The 15906-nt window shown below is 51.3% G+C and overlaps 2 long non-coding RNA genes across 2 annotated transcripts in view; one reads left to right on the plus strand and one right to left on the minus strand.

Annotated features, from left to right (window-relative positions):
- LINC01839 (long intergenic non-protein coding RNA 1839) overlaps nucleotides 1-11431 on the plus strand; it is a 76964-nt gene extending 65533 nt beyond the window's left edge. The window contains exons 7-8 of the long non-coding RNA XR_924788.3: nucleotides 8175-8763; nucleotides 9440-11431. This is a non-coding gene — a long non-coding RNA (long intergenic non-protein coding RNA 1839). The remainder of the gene's footprint in view (nucleotides 1-8174; nucleotides 8764-9439) is intronic.
- LINC01840 (long intergenic non-protein coding RNA 1840) lies at nucleotides 5282-15486 on the minus strand. Its single transcript, NR_046593.1, has 2 exons — nucleotides 15380-15486; nucleotides 5282-5745 (listed from the first exon to the last, which is right to left on the minus strand). It is a non-coding gene; the product is annotated as a long intergenic non-protein coding RNA 1840 (long non-coding RNA).
- Nucleotides 15487-15906: the final 420 nt, after the last annotated feature.

The raw sequence follows: 15906 nt of genomic DNA on the forward strand, positions 1-15906 counted from the left end.
CCCATCATGCCGGCAATGGGCTGTCCAATGGCAAAGGAAGGCTGATGGAGGTTGACCAGGTCATTTTGTCTAGTTGGTTGTTCAGTGCCTGTCCGCAGTGGATGCTCTCTGGCAGCTGTGAACATGCGCTACAAAGACCTTCACACTTGGGCCCACTCCCAAATGTCCAGACACATCCTCCAGCCCAGACCTGCTGCTCCTCATCTTCCAGCCTTTTTCCTTCAGGTCCCAGCCTCCAACCACTCAGCTGAGCCATCAGCCACTACCCATGAGTTGTACATATCTTAACTTTGGGACCCTTCTCTTTCCACACAAAGGGGATGATTAGCTGCACCATCTGAAACTCCGCCTATTTATTGGAGGATTTTCTCCAATAATTTTGGAGAAATAGTTTCCAAAATTATTGGAAAATTATTCCAAAATAATTCCAAAACTATTGGAAAATTCCAAAATGATTTCCAATAATTTTTTCCAATCCACCCCTGAGTGAGGCTGCCATCATTTTTAGTTTGCACATACATGTGGAGCTGACCCATCTGTACCCCAAGTTCAGGCTTTTCCTCCCCGCTTTGGCTGGTTGGACAGGAACCCATAGAATCATGGGCATGAGCTGGGGTGGGGGCCCTGCGGCTTGCTGTCCACTCACTTCAATCCTGGAGGACGCACCTCCATCTTACAACGGGCTGCTGCTGAGCCTGCTTGGCCTTACAGCTTGGGAGGACGACGAGACCCAGCTCACAATGGGACCGACGAGACCCAGCTCACAATGGGCAGTTCTGGTTGCACAGTCACTTGGTCCTCCGTGGCAGTTTCTTATTTTATTTAATTTATTTTTTGGCATGTAGTCCTCGCTGCAGCTGGCATGGCCTTGCTAGAGATCTCAGAGGGCTCGCTGTGAGTCTCCCACCCGAGCCTGCACAATCGCCACAGGCGTCTTTCCCCGCCATTGATCTTTCAGCACCATAATATCTGCTGGGCCAGAGGTTTCAGGCGACAGGCTGCATCTGTAGATGACACAAGGCTACCTGGAGTCATTAGGGTAGGGCAGCCTGAGCAGGGGCTGCCACTTCCTTCTCAGGGGAAGCTCTTGTGAATGCAAATGGGGCATGTTAAGTCCTGGAAGGAGAGAAAGAGAGAGAGAGGGAGAGAGACAGAGGTGGGGGGGGGGGGGGCGGGGAGAGAGAGAGAGACAGACGAGAGAGACAGACAGACAGGGCAAGGGGAGAGAGAGAGAGGTAGAAAGAGAGAGAAACAGATGGGAGAAGGGGGGAGGGGGGAGAGAGAGAGACAGAGAGGGGAGAGAGAGAAGGGAAGGAAGGAAGGAAAGAAGGAAGGAAGGAAGGGAAGGAGGGAGGGAGGGAAAGAAAGGGAGAAGAGAAAGAAAGGGGAGGAAGAAAGAAAATGAAGTTGCTCTTTGTTAGATGCTCTTGTGTCGTTTAGGGTCTTTTTCTGTATACATTGCCCCAACTAACTGTGAGTTCCTTCGGGGCAGAGTTAGAATCCCAGCTCCTCCACCTACTAGCTATGTGATCCTGGGCAAGCCACTTCACTTCTCTGAGCCTTGGTGTCCTCCTCTGTAAAATGGGGATAATTTTTTTTTTTTTTTTTTTTTTTTTGGAGATGGAGTCTCACTCTGTCACCCAGGCTGGAGTGTAGTGATGTGATCTCAGCTCACTGTAACCTCCGCCTCCCAGGTTCAAGCGATTCTCCTGCCTCAGCCTCCCAAGAAACTGCAATTACAGGCGCGCACCACCACACCTGGCTAATTTTTGTATTTTTGGTAGAAACGGGGTTTCACCACGTTGGTCAGGCTGGTCTTGAACTCCTGACCTCGTGATCTGCCCACCTTGGCCTCCCAAAGTGCTGGTATTACAGGCATGAGCCACCATGCCCAGCCCCAAATGGGGATAATATTTTAGCCCACAGCACAGTGGTCTGTGAGCATTAAGAGAAGGAAAGCACCCCTCCCCACCAGCACAGTGTCTGCACCCAATCAGCACTCCTTAAACGCTGGCTAGCATTCTCCTCCCCTGTGACCCTCTGGCAAAAGATTCCCCACCCCAACCTCAGCGCCCAGCAAATCTGTGCTAATGTGCGAGTGGGTATCGATGAGTTCATATAACCCTTGGGTAGCATGTGGTTAACATGTGTGCGTTTTAATAGGGCTATTTTACAGCAACTCTAATGATGTGTGGATTGTCTGGGGGCCATGGGGGTTGTTTTCTCAAGCTATAAACTCACCGATGCTCTGCTCCACATTCTCCTCAGAGTCTCTACCCTACCTCCTCTGTGGCCCAGGGTCTGCCCACAGCTGGCCCCTCACAGGTGCCCAGGGCTGCAGGGTGTGTGTATGTGGCTTGTGTGGTGTGTGTATGTGTGTGTGTGTGTGTTGTTTGTGTGGTGTGAGTGTGGGTGTTGCTCATATGTGTGTTGTCTACTTGGTGTATGTATGTGTTGTGTGGTTGTACGTATGCGTGTGTCCTATAATTAAAGTCCCCAGAAGCAGGGCACCCTGCCTGGGTGCCACCTTCTCACCCCTCTCCAGGGGCTCTGAGCACCCCCCCACCCCCGCGACGTGGCAGTGGGCAGCACCTGTGCCCTGATCTTTGCATCTCAGCCTCTCGCCCAGGGCTTTGTGCTAACGGGTGCTCAATACGGTAGTGCTTTGCTAATTGGGAAAAAGCGGTCGCGGGATGTTCTTTCCAGGGCAGTGCTGCAGTGCCCTCTGGTGGATTTTCTCTGAACTTCTCTAGGTTTGAGGTTCCGCTTGTCCTTGACAGGTAAGCCGGCCCTGAGAATCCAACCGCCTGGCCTTCTTCGCTTTTGGTCAGCCCTCCGCCTTGCAGAGAGTGGGGCTCAGTGGGAGCTGAGGCTGTGTGAGGGTGAGGCTGGGGTCAGGCTGGGGAGGAGACTGATGTTGGGAGTCCGGAGGTACAGTTATTCCTGTACCTCTAGCAATAAGAACTGTGAGGTGGAAATGCCCATTTCAGTGATGGTGGAGAGAAACCAATGGAACCTGAATATAGGCAGCGACCCCTTAGGAAGCATCTCCTCCTCCTCTTCCTCCTCCCCCTCCTCCTCCTCCTCCCCCTCCTCCTCCTCCCCCTCCTCCCCCTCCTCCTCCTCCTTCTCCCCCTCCTACTCCTCCCCCTCCTACTCCTCCTCCTCCCCCTCCTACTCCTCCTCCCCTCCTCCTCCTTCTCCCCCTCCTCCTCCTCCCCCTCCTACTCCTCCTCCTCCCCCTCCTCCTCCTTCTCCTCCTCCTTCTCCCCCTCCTGCTCCTCCCCCTCCTACTCCTCTTCCTCCTACTCCTCCTGTTCCCCCCTCCTCCCTCTCCTCCTCCTCCCCCCTCCTCCTCCTCTCCCCTTCCTCCTCCTCCTCTGCTTCTCTTCCTCCTCCCCCTCCTCCTCCTCTCCCCTTCCTCCTCCTCCTCTGCTTTCTCTTCTTTTCAGGCAGAAATGCCTCCACAGATTCCCTTATTATCCATGTAGAAAGGGAAGAAAGACATGAATGCTTGTATGTCAGATATGTTACAAGTAACTTGTTTAAAAGGGGAAAAGAAAATAGGGGAAGAGATAAGAAACAAGACAATAAATCTAGAAAATCAGGAATGAGAATAAAGATAACAACCAGAAAAGCAACAACAACGCAGAGATAGAAATCAAAACAAAAGCGATCTCAGTAATCATGAATAGATTAAATTATCCATCCTCTGCATACGAAAATACGAATATTTTAAATTTAGCTATTTCTTGTTAATAAAGATGACACATAAGGCCAAGATTCTCTTATACTAGGCAAATACTAGCATATGCACATCCAATCCATCAGCAAGTCTTGCTGGCTCTGTACCCAAAACACATCCCAAATCCATCTTCCCTGCTAGCACCACTGCCCAAGCTACCATCATCTCTTGTTTGAATGATTCCAGGAGCTTCCCAACCCATCGGCTGGGTTCTCCTGTTACTCCCCTGTAATCCAGATTCCACACAGTAACACAGTGGGTTTCTTTTCTTTTCTTTTTCCTTTTTTGAGACAGAGTCTTGCTCTTGTTGCCCAGGCTGAAGTGCAATGGTGCAATCTCAGCTCACTGCAACCCCCGCCTCCTGGGTTCAAGCGATTCTCCTGCCTCAGCCTCCCAAGTAGCTGGGATTACAGGTGCCCGCCACCACACCCAGATAATTTTTTGTATTTAGTAGAGACGGTGTTTCACCATGTTGGCCAAGCTGGTCTCGAACACCTGACCTCAGGTGATCCACCCGCCTCAGCCTCTCAAAGTGCTGGGATTACAGGTAGGAGCCACCGCACCTGGCCCACAGTGTTCTTTTGAAATCAGAAATCAAATCACGTTGCCATCCCTGCCCCCTGGTTTAATGATACTTCATGTGGCCCCCATTTCACTTGACATAAAATCCAAAGTCCTTTCTGCAGCCTATGCAACCCTATGAGTGGGATGAAGGAATGATGCCACTCCAGAGGGCAGAACCAGGGCCAAATGACAGGAGTTGCAGAGCATGAACCTTGACCCAAGAAAGGAGGAATTTTCTAGTCATCAGAGCTGTCCAAGCTGACTTCGCGATGTGGAATAAGGTCCCCACTACAGAGAGGATGGAGCTGCAGCTGAGGGGATTTCTGCACAGGGTTGGCTGGAGGCTGAAGTAGATTTCCCTGTTGCTTTCCTGTAGGAGACTCTGTGCCTCTAGGAATAAGAACTGTGAGGTGGAAATGCTCACTTTGGTGATGGTGGAGAGAAACAAATAGAATCTGAACATAGGCAGTAGTCCCTTAGGAAGCATCAGCTTCTGCTTCTTCTTGATTACTTCTTCCAGTGGGGAGCTCAATACATGGTGGGCAGCCCTTCCTTTCGGTCAACACTTCATGTATTGGGCAGGCCAAGTCTGTCTGCCTCCCCGAAACTTCCTCATCTCAGTCTCAGTTCCTCTCTCTTGCAGAGTTCTAAGCACTCTTCCAAAAGTGTGCCAGAGATTGTGCTGCATGTTGGGGACATAAAGATGAAAAACGTGAACTCTGCTGTCAGGAAGTTCACAGACTAGAGGGAGCTGGCTCATTCATAGCAGGAGCGCCACGAGGACAACGGGGTATTGCAAAGGGCAGAGCATGCAGGAACTGGAGTGTAGGAGAGCTCAGCCCTGGCTGGGCATCAGCATTACCCAGGGAGGTCTGAAAACTCCCACACCCACGGGGTCAGAGTATCCAGAGATTGTGAGGGCAGGGCCCAGGCTTTGGGGTTTCTTTTTTCTTTGTTTTTTGTTGTTGTTGTTGTTTGTTTGTTTGTTTTTTGTTTTGAGACAGAGTCTCGCTCTGTTCCCCAGGCTGGAGTGCAGTGGCACAATCTCGGCTCACAGCAAGCTCCGTCCGCCTCCTGGGTTCACGCCATTCTCCTGCCTCAGCCTCCTGAGTAGCTGAGACTACAGGCGCCCGCCACCACGCCTGGCTAATTTTTTGTATTTTTAGTAGAGACGGGTTTCACCGTGTTAGCCAGCATGGTCTCGATCTCCTGACCTCGTGATCTGCCTGCCTTGGCCTCCCAAAGTGCTGGGATTACAGGCGTGAGCCACCGCGCCCGGCGGCTTTGGTGTTTCTTAAAGATTCCCAGGTAGTTAGGTGACTACAGTCATGGGCCCCTGGCTTAGTTGGGAAGTGCTTCATCTCTGAGACACCAGGATTCGAATCCCCAGTTTTGCCGCTTAACAGCTTGGTGGCCATGGATCTGCCTCTCTAGTCCTGTGAATGAGCAGGAGAAAAAAGAAGGAGGGAGTGAGAGAAAGGGAAACAAGGAGAAATAGTTTGAGCAGTGCACCTGGCCATAAAACACCAGGGCGGGGCTGGGGGTGTCTTTGCAAATGGTCACGTCACACCAGGCCTAGCTGCACCCCAGTACACCAGGCCACCAGTACAGCTGTGGCACCCGCTCAGTCGTCTTCCTTTGCGGAGCACCTGCTGTCAGGGTTTATTGCAGAAGGAGCCAAGATCACACCTTTATGTAGGCAACAAAATAAATCCTTACAAAACATGAAAGGATTTTTACAGCCACCCTATGAAATGGGAACTGAGTACCCCCATTACAGAGAAGGAAACGGTTACATAGTCTATCTAAGGCCATGTGAAATGAAGGACTGGACTGGAACTAGAATGCAGACCTAGCTCATACAAAAGCCTGGAATGAGTCTTGCATATCCACTGCCCAAGTGAAAAAGGAAACTATTGGCCGGGCACTGTGGCTCATGCCTGTAATCCCAGCACTCTGGGAGGCCAAGGTGGGCGGATCACCTGAGGTCAGGAGTTCAAGACCAGCCGGCCATGATGAAACCCTGTCTCTACTAAAAATACAAAAAATTAGCTAGGCGTGGTGGTGCATGCCTGTAATCCCAGCTACTGGGGAGGCTGAGGCAAGAGAATCGCTTGAACCTGGGAGGTGAAGGTTGCAGTGAGCCGAGATTGCGCCATTGCACTCCAGCCTGGGCAACAAGAACAAAACTCCATCTCAAAAAAAAAAAAAAAGAAAAAAGGAAAAGGAAATTATTAGAGTATAGCTGTCTGTATTCCCCCCTGATCCTCTTCACCTCTCTCCCCTCCAACCACTGTCCTGAATTTGTGTTGATCATTTTCATCTATGTCTATATACCTTTGCCATACATGCAAGATTCCATACCCAGTACGTTGCATCTGATGGCATGTTTTTCAGCCTTGTAGAGACAGCATCATGGGAAAGAAATCCTCCTCCTGCATCTTGTTTTTGTCTCTTAAAATTGTCTGTGACGTTTATCCATGTGAATACATATATCTCTAATTTGTGTATTGTTACTGCTTTTCAAAATCCATGACTCTGCTGATGAAGTTTCAGGTTGTTTCCCGTTTTTTTTTTTTGAGACAGAGTCTTGCTCTCTCCCAGGCTGGGGTGCAGTGGTGCAATCTCGGCTCACTGCAAGCTCCGCCTCTGGGGTTCACGCCATTCTCCTGCCTCAGCCTCCCAAGTAGCTGGGACTACAGGCGCCCGCCACCGCGTCCGGCTAATTTTTTGTATTTTCAGTAGAGACGGGGTTTCACCGTGTTGGCCAGGATGGTCTCGATCTCCTGACCTCGTGATCCGCCCGCCTCGGCCTCCCAAAGTGCTGGGATTACAGGCATGAGCCACCGCGTCCGGCCTTGCTTCCCGTTTTTTACTGTTATAGATAATGCTGCTACAACGATTTTTGTTCTGATATCCTGCACATGTGTGAGACTTTCCCAAGGGTGTACACCCGGGGTGGTTACTGGGCTGAGGGTATGGTGCTTTTCCCGTCTGTCATGCAGGTTACCCTCATGCCAGCGTGTGCCAGTTTCTGTTGCTCTGTGCCCTCACTCACACTTAGTATAGCCACATTTCACATGTACAAGCCTACATTCTTTTTTTTTTTTTTTTTTGAGACAGAGTCTTGCTCTGTCTCCCAGGCTGGAGTGCAGTGGTACGGTCTCGGCTCACTGCAACCTCTGTCTCCTGGGTTCAAACAATTCTCCTGCCTCAGCCTCCAGAGTAGCTGGGATTACAGGTGCCCGCCACCATGCCCTGCTAATTTTTGTATTTTTTTTTTTTTAGTAGAGATGGGATTTCACCATGTTGGCCAGGCCGGTCTCAAACTCCTGATCTCAGGTGATCCGTCTGCCTCGGCCTCCCAAAGTGCTGGGATTACAGGCATGAGCCACTGCACCCAGCCACAAGCCTATATTCTTTATACAGTCCCTAACAACCTTTTGGGAGAATAGTTGCACAGAGAACTACAGCTAGACCATGTTCTTGGCTGTGACATCCTCGGCAAAGCCTGGATGGAGGTCACTGAGGCAAAGCTGAGCCAATATTGATTCAGAACATCCTGTTGCAAAACATGGAGTGAAAGACATGAAGCAAAAGAGGCCTTTGGAAAGGTTTCTTGGCCATCTCCACCAACAATCTGCCTCAAGGCATCATCCTTTCGTCTTGACCTTTTGTTTAAAGGACTAAGTAGGGAGCCCAAACTCCTAGATTTGCCCAAGGTGGTCCCAATTCAGGCCAGTTGTCCCAGTGTAATTATTAATAGCACCACCTTTGACTCTTCAAGGTGTTCAGGCTTGAAAGATAATTTATATGGCCACCTACTGTAGGAGGGTGGGAATTCACATCAATTTCCTATCCACAGATACTCTGCTGTGGCCAACGTGGGGAAGACTGAATGATGGAGAGCCTGTTATACAAACCACAGGGGAACACTTGCCATTGTTTCTGCTATTGTCCCACAGTTGTTTAAGATGGAAGCAGGAGCCCCTGGAAGCTTTCAGAGAAGAAGCTAGCCAGAAACTCACAAGCCCTTTCCTTGAGAAGCTCTGGCCCCATCACTGCGGAGTGCTGGCCATGCTCCCTGGTCACTGCCCATGGGACGGCCAGCTCCCGGGCAGGTGGTGCTAAGCAGGTTGGCGGGTGTTACCCCTCCCAGTCTCCTCAAGATTAGAATCTGTTCCAGGCCACCAGACAGAGCTCCCTGCCAACGCTCTCACTAGAACTGTTCCTGGATGTGCTTCGAGAGCTGTGGCCAAGCTCTTGTGACAACACCTCCTGGAATAACAAAGGGATCCTTTGTGGGCAATCGGCTCCAGCTAACAGCTTGCGGATGGCTGGACTCCCTCTGGCATTTTCTTTTCAAGACAGCCGCCCCCCCATTCCCATCCATTCAGCTCAAGACAATCTGAGATCGTACACAGATAATTGGGCCATTTGTTCAACCTGAAGAGGTAGGTCAGGTCGGCCTTCCAACATTGAAACTTCCGGAGGAAATGATGGGACACAATGGGAATCTGTGGGGGTGACAGCTCAGGGCATCCGCATTCGATGGTTCCCTTCCAGTATTGTGCCACCTCTGAGAGAAGGCCTTCAGCTCAGCAGTGTGCTCATGTGACAAGGGCTTATTCTTAGCAACAGGTCCACAAAGGATTTCCAACTAAGCAGCTTTGGAAACCTAGGCTCTTACTTGGAAGGGCAGGCCCATTGAGGATTGCTCTTGCCAATGGAGCTTCAAGACTCCTCTGGGGCCACCAACTCCATGAAGTCTTTGTGGAGCCACCGCCTCCCAGATGTTTGCCCAGATGAGAGTTGCACACTTTTGCTTTTGTGCCCCATGTGTTACCCCCATGAGTGTGTGCATATGTGTATCTGCATCCATGCACATGTACATATGTCTGTCACAGCACAATCACTCCCCCAAGGACAGTGACACTACCTTACTCTTCTGCATTCTCCTTCCTGCACTGGGAGCTCAGTAAAAGCTTGTGAAATAAAGAACGGAGTCAGTCTTTCACCTGGAGGTGGTTGGGCCCAGAAGCAGACTGGATGGAGGAATTCAGATGATATTGTCTCATCTCTTTTTGTCCCTGAATTCTTCTCTGTTTCTTTTCTTTTCTGTTACTGTAGATGAATGTTCTCCATGTTAGGGAAGATGGTCACCAGCAATCCAACTGGCAACATTGCAGCTCTGGAAATGAAGGCAGCTCCACGGTCTCTTCCCCCATCCCTTGATTACCCGTGTGGCCACAGGGTGGGGTACAGTGACTAGAGAGTCCACTAGAATGCCATGATTGGAGTGAGGGTACAGCAGTTCCCCAAAGTGGGGCAATTGAGGTGGCCCTGAAGAGGAAAAAACAACAGACATCCAGGAGAAAATCACTGGAGCTTGAGGGGCCTCTAGGAGGACACATTCTGACCTGGAGACCTGGAGGGCTCCCGTGAGAGGAACAACTGAAATCTCCAACAACCACAGGCTGAGGAGCTTGGGCTGGGCAGGTTTACAAAGACCACTGCCTCAGAAAGGACCGCGAGCGGTTGATCTGCAGGCTCTGAGCATGAGGCAGCAGCAAATGGACCCTCACTGGGGACACCCAGAGGCCAGGTCCCGTGCAGGACCAGGAGTCAGCAGCCAACCCCTGCTCATCTGCTGGGGGTCCGTGGTCCGCTAAGCGGCCCCACAGAGGGCCCTCTCCCATCAGGCTGGCTCTGGGATGACTGGGTGGTGGCCCTCACAGCAGTAGCTAACATTCTGGGAACCAGACTCCCTGGGCACTGCCCCACTGCCTCCTGCCAACAGTGCTGTTATGTGGATTTTAGGCTTTAGAATCAGAAACAGGCCCTAAATTAAGCACAGAAAGAGAGAAAGGGTGGGAGGGAAAGAGAAGAGGAGAGACTGAGGAGATAAAGGGAGGCAGAGAGAGAAAGTGTTGGAAGGACACGGGACAGTTGAAGGAAAAGACGAACAGCCGCTTTCGGGATAGACTGGGGCAGGACCAAAGCCTGCTGCTCTGCCGACCCAGGACCAACCCCCTTCAGTCCCTGTGACTGCCCCGGAAGTCCAGTTCCCAGGACTAACGCGGGCCGGTACCTGCCCCTGGGATCAGGGATCAGGTTCTGTGATTGACCACCCCACCATGCGGAGCTGAGGAGGGGCCACTAACTCAAAGGAAGGGTGAGAAGGAGGGAAGTATATTTTGGACAGACAAAACCAGCAGCTCTCAGGCACCACTAGCTCCATTTTCCAGGTGAGGAGACAGGCTTAGGGAGGGGGCAGGACTTGTCAACATCACAGTGACAGTGAGTGACAGGACTTCAGCCCAACTAGCTTGACTGCAGTACCACATCTTAATCACTGTGTTTGCTCCCCACCCAATCACGATGGGTGCCTGGTGGGGACACCTCATTTGATCACAAATCGTAATTTAACAAAATAACACAGTGGTTAAGAGTTTGGGGACCTGTTAGAAGGTCACTACAGTCAAACAGGCAAGAGAGGAAAGGACTAGCCTGTCCCAAGACAGTAGATACGATGACAGGAGGACATGAATCAGTAGATGCCAGAGAGTGTGAGAAGAAATCTGTCACGATTGAGAACTCACAGGACTGGGAAGGGAGGAAGGAGTGGGGTCTACATTGGCCTCAGGCTTCTGGTTTGGGCAGTGGGTGGATGGAACTGTCCTTCACTGAGGTGCAAAGCCCAGGAGGAGGAAGCGGTGGCAGTGGAGGTGGGAGAGAGAGGAGTTTCATTTTGGAAATGTTGGATTTGAGGTGCCTGCAGGACACCCAAGTGGAAACGCCCAGTGTTCAGTGGGTCCGTGGGGTGTGGAGCATGGGAGAGAGCCATAGGTGGAGCTGGTATTCCCCCAATGGCGTGGTATAGTATGAGGCTGGCAAAGGCCTGAGGACGGAGCCTGGGCATCATGGCATTTAGGGGCAGGGAAGCCTTCTCAAGTGAGAAAGCATCAGTAGCTCATTCTTTCCTTGCATGAGTCTGATTCTGTCTGCCTCTTCCTTCCCTGTCTACTCCCCCAACTTTGCCTTACCCAGGTAAGTCATTGTTTTTTTTTTTTTTTAGATGAGTTTCACTATTGTCACTCAGGCTGGAGTACAATGGCTCAATCTCAGCTCACTGTAACCTTCGCCTGCCTAGTTCAAGCGATTCTTCTGCCTCAGCCTCCCAAGCATCTGGGATTACAGGTGCCCACCACCAAGCCCAGCTAATTTTTTATTTTTAGTAGAGACGGGGTTTCACCATATTGGCCAGGCTGGTCTCGACCTCAGGTGATCCGTCCGCCTCAGCCTCCCAAAGGGCTGGGATTACAGGCATGAGCCACCACGCCCGGCCAGGGTAAGTCATTCTTAACATTTTAGCATCCACAGCCGTTCCTCGGCACAGCCTTGCCTGGCCTCCCAAGAATGTTTTCATAGGCTCCCACACTTTTCCAGGACAGGACTTCTTACCTTGCAATAACAAAATCATGTCCGTGACGATCGCCCCTGCTGGACTGTAAGCTCCCTGAAAACAGGGACCATGCCCACCATGCTCACTGTTGTATCCCTGTAGGAGGTGTAGAAACTCCCCCTCTCACTCTCTTCCTGTGCCCCACCTTTTCCAGGGATGTGGATTGACTGTGAGTTTCCAAGGCGTAGACAGGGACAGAATCACAATCAGTGTATGAAACTGACCCACATTTCTGTGGTCCTTCTTCAGCTTCCTTCATCAGGCCCACTGGGTTAGGAAGACAGACTGGGCTCTCTTGCAAGCTGGCATCTTCTCTCTCTTGTCTTCCCACAGAGTGCCTGGGCACTTGGCAGGGATCCTCATTTGGGCTGCAGTCCTTGGTAAGACCCAATCTGGGCTGTGAGGCTGAAGCACATGGCCCACCCTGTGCCAAAAGCAGCCTGCCTTGGGGAATCACACAGTCACTCAAACTTGTAACAAAGGGGCGCTTTGGTTTCTCGTTTATTTTTACCCTCACAGCCTTGGGAAGTTTACGGAAAGAGGGATCACTGGAGGCCAAGATTTGGCCATTCCCAGGTCCTCTGGTGAAATCCCACTGAATAGATGCTTTCCCTTGTTTAACCCCTGCTCAGTGAATGAAGGAAAGGAGGAAAGAGATGCACAGAGCAGAGCTTCGACTCTAGAGTCATGATCACTTACGAGCGTCTGTCCCTGGGGAGATCTAGTCCTAGACCATTCAGATACTATATGGATCTAGGGCTTTGCTCCTATGGCGCTGCATGGCAGACGATGGGGCCTGTTACAGCAGTTCCCAGGCTTCACCCTCATGCATTTAGAAGACTTCTTTGTCAATCTGCCAGTCAGGCAGTGGTGTAAACCTCTGCAACCAAAGCACAGGTTGGGCTGGGTCAGCAGCTCAGACCTGTAATCACAGCACTTTGAGGGGCTGAGGCGGAGGATCACTTGAGGTCAGGAGTTGGAGACCAGCCTGGCCAACATGGTGAAACCCCCTCTCTACTGAAAATACAAAAATGATCTGGGCCTGGTGCCGGGTGCCTGTAATCCCAGCTACCTGGGAGGCTGAGGCACAAGAATCGCTTGAAACTGAGGTTGCAGTGATCTGAGATCACACCACTGCACTCCAGCCTGGGTGACAGAGCAAGACTCAGTCTCAAAAAATAAAAATAAAAACTAAGCGCAGGTCGGAACGGCTGCTGGGTCTGTTGGATATTCAGCATTTTCTTGGCCCATAAGTAGCCTCCAGATCTAATAAAATGTCTTTAAAAGTCTCTGAAACTGCCTACGTGCTGGAATTCACATCAGCCCTACAAGCTGGTTGGCCCATCGTATTTTACAAAAGGGAACATAAGCTCAAAGAAATCCTATCATTGGCAAAGCACCCAGCACGAGTAACAATAATTAACAGTAATGAATGATAGTAAATTGTGCTACCATTGCCTGAAGACCTACTATGTGCTAGGTACTCCATTCAGGCTTCTACATGTTTCTCTCACTCATTCTTCGCAGTTGTCCAGTGAGGTTGGTGCCATTATTTTACAAATGAGGAAACTGAGAATGAGAGAGATAGGTGACTTGCTGGAGTTCACAAAGCTAATGGGAAATGGGGTCAAGGACTCGAACCCAAATCCCTCTCTAAGGCCTTCTTCCTTTCACTGTGCTGTTCTCCTTCCAGCTGGTGGCAGGAGGTGCAGCGAAGATTCTGTGTGTAGCAGGAGGGACCCAGACAGGCCCGACAAAAGGCATTCTGAAGGAAGAGGCTGTTAGGCCTGGCCCAGGAGGGGCAGCTTCAGAAACCAGGGTAAAGGAATTGCCTCATTTGTACTGCGCGCTGGGCCAGGTCATGTGCCAGCCACTTCTGGCTGTTCTGGGAAAGAAACCCAGGGGGCGGCCAGGTGTGGTTGTTCAAGCCTGTAATCCCAGCACTTTGCGGGGCCGAGGCGGGGGGATCACTTGAGGTCAGGAGTTTGAGACCAGCCTGGCCAACATAGTGAAGACCCATTTCTACTAAAAATACAAAAATTAGCCAGGCGTGGTGGTGGGTGCCACTGTAGTCCCAGCTACTCAGGAGGCAGAAGCAGGAGAATCACTTGAATCCAGGAGGCAGAGGTTGCAGTGAGCCAAGATTGCGCCACTGCACTCCAGCCTGGGCGACAAGAGCAAAACTCCATCTCAAAAAAGAAAAAAAAAAGAAACCCAGGGGGAACCTGGCCAGACCTAGGACCTGGGCAGAGGGGGGACAAAAGGGGAGAAGGGGCCCAACATTCAGATGGCCATTCCCCACTGGAAGCAGGTGCAAAGGACCCGTGCTGCCCAGAGACACAGGGCAGGGCCTGGCAAAGGCCTTAGCTCTGCAGAGGAAAGGAGAAGCCCCGAGGAGGCCTCCTTTGGGAAGGAGATGAACCAGGAGACCTTGAAGGTCCAGTTGGCCCTGGTGGCCCTGAGTGAACCTCTCTCCAGGGATCTTCTGCATCAGTAGTGGGAGAGGGAGGGAGAAGAAAGAGGTAACTGAGATTTTCCTAAAAGGTTTTGTTTTATAAAGCATTGTGACTGACTGAGGCCTCTGCTTGAAATCTTAAAACCCATCGAGGAGTTCGTGTCTCTCTTGGGCTGAACTGGAAACTCCTAACACAGCTAATAAAGCCCTGTGCGCTGTGGCCGCTGCTAAGCCCACCTGACTGTCCCTGTCTCCAACACGTACCTCATGATGCAGTGGTTCTCGAGACTTCCCTTCCCCTTCCCCCCAGAGTCAGAACCACCTTGGGGGCTTTGGAAACGCACCCCTGCCCAGGGCCTACTGCAGACCAGTATCTCTGCGGGTGGCGTCCTTCTTCCTAAAAACCTCCCCAGGTGATTCCGTGCGTGTTTAGGGCTGAGACCCCTGCCGCTCGGCCTTCTCCGTCATCCTCTCCTGCCCAAGTCCTCCTATTCTCCAGGCCTCAGCCAGGTCTCTGTGCGGGGTCTATTCCAGAGGAAACCCTCCCTGACCCCTCTCCCAGAGTTGTATTTGGCACAATGGGTTGGGTAGCCCATCTGTGCCTGTGTTCCCATGGCACCCTGTGATTGTCCGGAAATGCCTGACACTCACCTTTCTCCCTGTGACTGTGATCTCCCTGAGGACAGGGGCCTTATCTAGCGGTTCACAGTTGCATTCCTGCACCTGACATATGATGACCGTTCAATAAATGGGCTGAAATATTAAGTATCAAGTTAAAATCTGTCTTCCTAAAAATTTCCCTTAGTTCCCGATGTTCCCATCTTCCTAATTAAACATGAAAGCCCACGTCTTTTCCATTTTTAAACTTTCCCCAAATGTCCATGGATATTGGCCCTTAATTAGCGCTTTTTGAATCCCTCTGGATCCTCCCTGTCCTCCTGAGCAGGGAGCTGGCTTTCTGTTCCTGCAGACATTAGTGTTTCCCCAAATAGCTCCTAGAAAAGGAAGCACGGCTTCTCCACAAGAAAAGACAGTTTGCAAACAAGGGCTCTGCGCAGGCAGGCTCAAAGGCAACTGAAGCGGTTCCCTCTCTGGGAGATGTTTAAAGCACCTTCATTTAAGATCACAGAGAAGTTTAGTCAATACTCACCCATTTCCTCCTCCACCCTTCCTTAAGGGAAGCCAGAACTGAGCTCTTGTCAGAGAGGGTACCGACCGCAGAACGGCTTCAATAGAGTAGAGGGGATGATACATACTGGAGTGGAAGAAGATGAAGGTGAGAAGCTGCCAACAGGGCATTAATTGGCTTTGGAACAGCTAAGAGCCTCACCCTGGCCCAAAAACCCTGAGGCAATTTCCGAAAGCAACGGTGGAGGAAGAGGCCTGCCCCTTTTCTCACCTCCTTGGAATGGGCAGCTCGGAAGTGGGAAAGAGGGCCAGGAATCCATAGGGCATCATTCTCCCGCCAGCTGCCTGGGGCCTGGAGGGGGGCCAGGCGGCTCACCTCCTGGGGTTTGGGAATGTGCCCGGGTGTAAGGAGCTGCAGCCCCCATCTCCCCATTACTGAGAGGAGGTGTTGAGAGGTGCCCCGGCAGAGCTGGGGGACAGCGATGGCTGCTGCTGAAGTGTTGGGTGTGGACAAGTGGTCTCTGCTGAGTTTCTGGCTCCATTGACGTT

This window comes from Homo sapiens, chromosome 3 (assembly GCF_000001405.40).
Source record: "Homo sapiens chromosome 3, GRCh38.p14 Primary Assembly".
Classification (NCBI taxonomy): domain Eukaryota; kingdom Metazoa; phylum Chordata; class Mammalia; order Primates; family Hominidae; genus Homo; species Homo sapiens.